The sequence below is a fragment of the Homo sapiens genome, chromosome 2, assembly GCF_000001405.40.
Source record: "Homo sapiens chromosome 2, GRCh38.p14 Primary Assembly".
Lineage (NCBI taxonomy): Eukaryota > Metazoa > Chordata > Mammalia > Primates > Hominidae > Homo > Homo sapiens.
In genome coordinates this window covers 228820162-228826788 of record NC_000002.12, presented here as the reverse complement: position 1 = coordinate 228826788, position 6627 = coordinate 228820162, and the positions used below count along the sequence as shown (strand labels likewise).

Sequence of the window (6627 nt, the reverse complement as noted above, 5' to 3'; positions counted from 1 at the left end):
CTTGGACTTGAAGTGATAGTAGGCTATGAATCCTCATCCTGAGGGTTCGTGAAAGCCTGTTCCAAGCAGCGTACGTGGGCACCATGACCCGCACTGCCATACCATTTTTACTTGTACTGCCATCCCAGTAACATACTCTGCTGCAGGAGCCAAGAGTTAGCAGCAGTGTTAAATATCAAGTTTCCCATGGCCCTGGTCAGACAAGTTCCAAAGCTCATGGTGAGATACAGGGCTCTCTGGGCACATACTAGGGATCAGGGCTACATTTTTACAAATTGGTTGGTAAGTCAAAGAAGTAGCCCAGTACAGAAATAGGATGATGAACTCCTTGTGATTTCATTTTTTAAAGACCCACAGGAAGTATACACTCACACATATGCCTATGAAATTATATAAATACATATATACATATATAATCGTATTTAATAATGTATATACACATACAATCATATATAAATACACAATACCTATATAACCATTTAATATATACGTATGCTATCATATGTGTGTGCACACATACGCACCACACACACACAATTAACCCATTAATGCACTTTCACACACATCCATCTTTAAGTTGATGGAACATTTTTTCCCCTCTTATTTATTAGATGCTCATTGCCATTTGTGTCTTAATTTCCTCTTCAAAGCTGCCTTTAATAGTCACCTTTTAAAAATATGTTTCATGTATAAAGATGCTGAGCAGGCTCACGCCTGTAATCACAGCACTTTAGGAGGCGGAGGTGGGCAGATCACAAGGTCAGGGGATCAAGACCATCCTGACGAACACGGTGAAACCCCGTCTCTACTAAAAATACAAAAAAATTAGCCGGGTGTGGTGGCGGGCGCCTGTAGTCCCAGTTACTCGGGAGGCTGCGGCAGGAGAATGGCGGCGTGAACCCGGGAGGCGGAGCTTGCAGTGACCCAAGATCGCGCCCCTGCACTCCAGCCTGGGTGACAGAGAGAGACTCTGTCTCAAAAAAAAAAAAAAAAAAAAAAAAAAATGCTGAGCAGTTTGGGGCTAGTGGTGTGGTACAATGTGATATTGCTTGCTGGGCACTTTCTATCAGGGCACCTGACACTGGCAGAGAATGGCTACCATGTCCCTATTCTATGTGAGAGGAAGCCTAGAGGAAGAAGCTGGTCTCTGAATTCTTGCCTCAGGCCTATAGGAAATGTTAACTCCACTAAAGGAAAAATTCTGATAGGAAAGGGATGTCCTTCTCTCTTGAATGTCATCAGAAGGAGAAGTAGGAGCCCCCTAACCTACCTGTTATTCAGAATATGACAAAGGAACATTTTTCCCAAGGATATTATGTCAGAGACATGACTGTTCTCAACAGTATTGTTTTCAACTATTTTCTTAGAGTGCACGAAGGGTCATTTTTATTGGTTCTCAATGTAAACCAGGGTCATAAAGCCAAAGTGCAATTTAGTGAATGCAATTTGATAGAGGAAAGAATTGGAGAATTTCTGAGATTATTGATATTCTTCTATCTGTTGCCCTCTTCCTTGTAAATAGTCCATTTCAGCAACAAAGGTGAAGCCATGGATAGGCTAGCTCTCAGTCCTTTCTTGACATTTATAAAGCTGGGCTGCTTTGTGTGAAGGTCAGGCGGTCTTCCTTTCGGTATGGATTCATGTCTGGCTTCTCCGCTTTCATAAGAGTCCATCAAGTCAAGGCTTAGCTCTGCTCTCTTCCAAGGAGTTGTCAGGGACTAAAAGCCCAAACTCGCTGCTCCCAGTTCAGAGAACCTTATTTGTAGACAACTTCCTAAAGAATATGCTTTTGCCTTTTTCTCTAGACTGTCTAAAATTTGTCTTTGATTCAGTAGCACCACCAGAGAGCTGTTAATATATTAAGATGCTGGTAAAACTATTTCAACTTGACAATACTTCTTATTTGTTGGCTATTATTTTGTTGCCTAATTTAAGACATATCAGTAAGAGCAGAAGGGGTCTACTTATCCCACTGGTTTCATCAGCATCAAAAATAAAGCTCTGAATGGCATTCTTGAGAATTCTGTGATTTAAAATGTTCTCAGAATTCTCTCTTTGTAAGTGAATCATTGACTTAATGAAAATTAAACTGTAATTGTATTTCTAAGTCTATCCAGTGAATACTTATTAAGGCAGTTACATTTATGTTTATGAATTAGGAATTTAACCAATAGCAGTTTTATTGTGCAACTCATGAAACCGAGGGCTCTACATGGACCTCTCTTGGTACAAAATCATATTCATTGAGACTTCAACATGGTATAATACCTATAATTGTAGAACTGCAAATTTTAAGGCTTTTGGAAAAAAACATGCTAAAAGGGAAGTTCATCCTTTGTGCATAGTAAACTTTCTCCCAATTATCAGCTTTCTTATATTCTTGAAAGAAACAACAATGACAGGCTGCGCATGGTGGCTCATGTCTGTAATCCCAGTAGTTTGGGAGGCTGAGGCAGGCAGATCACGAGGTCAGGAGTTCAAGAACAGCCTGGCCAACATGGTGAAAACCCGACTCTACTAAAAAATACAAAAATTAGCCAGGCATGGTGGCACTCTTCTGTAATTTCCGCTACTTGGAAGGCTGAGGCAGGAGAATTGCTTGAACCTGGGAGGCGGTGGTTGCAGTGAGTGGAGATCGTGCTGCTGCACTCCAGCCTGGGTGACAGAGCAAAACTCTGTCTCAAACAAACGAACAAACAAACAAAGAAACAACAATGACAACAAACCCTCTTCATTGTTCTCTTCTCTCTGCCTTTCCAAGCCTCCTGTTCCCAGCTTGGGGGCTGTCTTCCCCTCTCTTCCCATGCAGACCCCTCCCCACTGCAGTGCTCTCAGTCCTCCCTTTCAACAAGGGGCTGGTAATTAGAGGAAGATTCCAACACCTGACTTTTCCCATTGGGTACAGCCACCTAAAAATTGCAATTCTTCACCAGTTCCAACAGCTTTTCAGAAAGGAGAGCCCATCTGGTATTCTGGAGAATATTCTTTTTTTCCAGTGGAATAATTTGTATATCCATCCTACAGGGTTGCTTCATGGTCATGTGACTGCACAAGTACACAGGGCCACGCTCTCTGAAGGGTCTGTTCCTTGGTGAAAGGCTCTGTTGTCACCATCTTGAAATTCCTAATACTTGTGAATAAGGAGCCCTGCATGTCCTTTCTCACTGCACCTGCAGCTGGCCCTGCCCTTGTGGCATCCCTCCGTTCCGAGGAGTTTGAGAAGTGAGGTAGCAACCGAGGAAAGGAAGCAGGACTGAAAACGTCACCAGATCTAGGTTCAAGAGAAAAGTTGGGGGAGGAAGGAAGGGAGAAGTTTTTGGGTGTCTGTTCACAGAGCTTCCCCACAGATTGCTTGTGCTTGCTTTATTGTGTTTCAGTGCTGAAAGACTGACAGGAGTTTCTTTCTCCTGATTCTGAACCTGAGGCTGAGCAGTTAGACTTTTATCAAAAATTATTAAGATGTGATAGTGACTTGCAGAACTTTGAAGCTCTGAAGAAAGGCCTGAGGCAATGATGGTTTGAGTTCACACTGAAAAGAAATCTAGCCTCTTTCAGTACTTATCCTGCAGGTCACATTTCAAAGCATTTAAACTTTATAATAAATTCTCTATTAGGTTCCTCTGCTAGGAAAACAAAAAGCATTTTCTTTAATCCCTAATCGACTTATTTATTTGTATGTGAATTGAAAATTTTGTTCCTCTTCCTTTTTTTAAAGAGTAATATAAAATTCTTTTTTTAATAAAAAAGTTATTTTATGTTCTTTGTTTTTGATTTCATAGAAATGTTTGGGAACAATATATAGAGATGTAGTAAGCATAGTTATTACTTCTAGAGTATTGTGTTGGACCCATGTTAATGGAGAGTTTATCATCTGAACTGAGCTGCCACAAGGTTGATGCCCCTGGGAAAGGAGCCCTTGTTTCCTCTTCACGTCCCCAGTATAACACAAGACGTGGCATACAAAAACACTCCATAAAAATTTATGGAAAGTATAGCATTGAAAATTTTGCTCAGGGGCCATGCACAGTGGCTCATGCCTATAATCCACAGAGTGATACCTTATCTCTACTAAAATTACGAAAAAAAAAAAATTAGCCAATCATGGTGGTGCACATCTGTAGTACCAGCTACTTGGAGAGTTGATGTGGGAAGATCTCTTGAGCCCAGGAGGTTGAGGCTGCAGTGAGCCATGATCACACCACTGTACTCCAGCCTGGGGAACAGGTGAGATCCTGTCTTAAAAAAATTTGAATTCCAGTAAAAAGACACAAAAATAATTTTAAAATGTCTTGCTTTATAGTAACATGTACTATTTATTGATTTGCAACAGGCACTTTACATAAATTACCTACACTAAGCCTTATGCTAACCTTATAAATTACTATTATGAGTTCCATTTTGAGATGGAGAATTGAGGTCCAAAGACATCAAGAGTCTTTCCCAGGTCCACCTATCTTTGAAAGTTTCTTAATAGACTTTGGCAAGTATATAACCTAATTATGAATAAGTATGTTTTCAATCTGAACAAGCTGTGGACTAATAACATTTTATACTCTACTGTAGAAAATTGAAAAATTGAAAATGGAAACATAAAGAAAATTACAACATTCCAAAGAGCCTCCTCATTGACTCACTATCAAAGGATGAGCAAATGGACAGGAAACTAATAAAGAGGATGCATGCTTCTCAGGAGTCAACTCAGACCCCCAGGAACACTGTTGCAGCCTCAATCTTCCAGGAATGGGGGAAATTTTAAACATTGAGGTAGTAAACAATAATAGGCAGTTTATGATATATAGTGACTCCAGCTTGAAGTCACCTTCTACTTCTGATGGCTCTTGGGTAATAGAAATTGACCCCAGGGTGAACAGGAAGGCAAGGTATAATAAGCCTGTGGTTCAAGCTACACAAAGGAACAGAGTACAGGGAGAGTCCTGATGCCAGCTCCCCACCGAGGGGCTCAGATCTTGTCCTTTTAAGTAAGTTGAGGTGGAAAAAAGGAGAGACATGTAGACATGTTTAGGCAGGGTCTTCTTTGCACCTGCATAGGAACTATCATGCCCTAACATGCGTTGCATGTACAGAAAATGGCAGATAGGACCTGCCTTGGGCAGAGATTTTAGTATTACAATGAGATTATAATGAGAAAAAAGTCAATGAAAGGTTACAGAAAAGTCAGTGAAAGGTCAGCACTGAAGTCCATCTTGTTGCCAACCAGCTGGATCTCGTGAGGTTCTTATCAGGAATGGCAGAGTCGCACGTTAGCAACCTTGGAAGACATTACACAAGGAGATAAATGGTTAGGTTCTTCCTTTTATGGTTAGGAATTTTGCCTGGTCTTCTAGGTTAGGAGGGGTCCCCATTTCTGCTACTGATTTGAGTCAGCTTGTTGAGGGAGACAAGGTAGGGGAGGTGATATGCCCAGACATGTGAGGCTCACTGGCATCCTAATTACAATGTCTCTTGTCTGCCAGGACCGAGTCTCCTCCCTAAACTGTCTTACTTCCCTTTTAAGTATTAATTGAAAATTGTAGATTAAAACAAAAATGAATCTCCCAAGGAGATGATTTGCAAATAATGTAAATAAATATCTGATATGGTTTGGCTGTATCCCTACCCAAATCACACATTGAATTGTAATAATCCCCACAAATCAAGGGTAGGGTCAGGTGGACATAATTGAATCATGGGGGCAGTTTCCTCCATACTGTTCTTGTGGTAGTGAATAAGTCTTACAAGAGCTGATGGTTTTATAAATGGGAGATCCCCTGCACAAGCCCTCCTGTCTGTTGCCATGTAGGACATGCTTTTGCTTCTCCTTTGCCTTCCACCATGGTTATGAGCCTTCCCCAGCCATGCTGAACTGTGAGTCCATTAAACGTTTTTCCTTTATGAATGACCCAGTCTTGGGTATGTTTTATTAGCAGCATGAGAACACTGACACAATATCTGTCCTCAGGAAGGTGGAGGATAACTCTCCCCTCCTTAAATGTGGGCTGCACATAGTGACTGCCTTTCAAAGAGGACAATATGGAAGGGGGCTAAAAGAGTCACTTGACAGTGGAGAAATCTGACAAATATGAGTTCAGCCAGGTGATCAAGGTCAACATCAACAATAATAAGACATGTTGACATTGTATACCCTTGACATGAAGTCATGAGATGGCACTTTACCTCCATGGTCGTACTCTCCAAAATCCAAACCACTATCTAACTATGAGAAAAGCATCAGACACATCCCAACTGAGGGTAATTCTACAAAACACATGACCAGTACCACTCAAAACTGTCAAAAAACTGTCATAAAAAACAGAGACTATGAGAAACTGTCAGAGTCAAGAAGATCCTAAGGAGACATGATGACTAAATGTAATATGATATTCCAGAAGGGATCCTGGAACAGAAAAAGGATGAGGTTAAACACTAAGGAAACTGAAAAAAGTTAATAAATACCCATATTCATTTATTAATTGTGACAAATGTAAAATATTAATAATAGAACTGTGTGTGTGGTATATAGGAACTCTACAATCTCCTCAATTTTTCTATAAATATAAAGCTTTTCTAAAATAAAGTGTTTATTAAAAAAAACAAGTAAAAGGAAGTTTTACTATAGACTTAGCCCTC

General features: G+C 40.5%; 1 annotated feature.

Moving 5' to 3' along the window:
* Positions 4425-5624: an enhancer, noted in NCBI's record as "BRD4-independent group 4 enhancer chr2:229685881-229687080 (GRCh37/hg19 assembly coordinates)". NCBI's record gives its function as "activates an origin of replication core promoter dependent on BRD2, P300/CBP, MED14 and CDK7 cofactors, and independent of BRD4, by STARR-seq in HCT116 cells {active_cell/tissue: HCT116}" and the evidence as "EXISTENCE:reporter gene assay evidence [ECO:0000049][PMID:35650434]".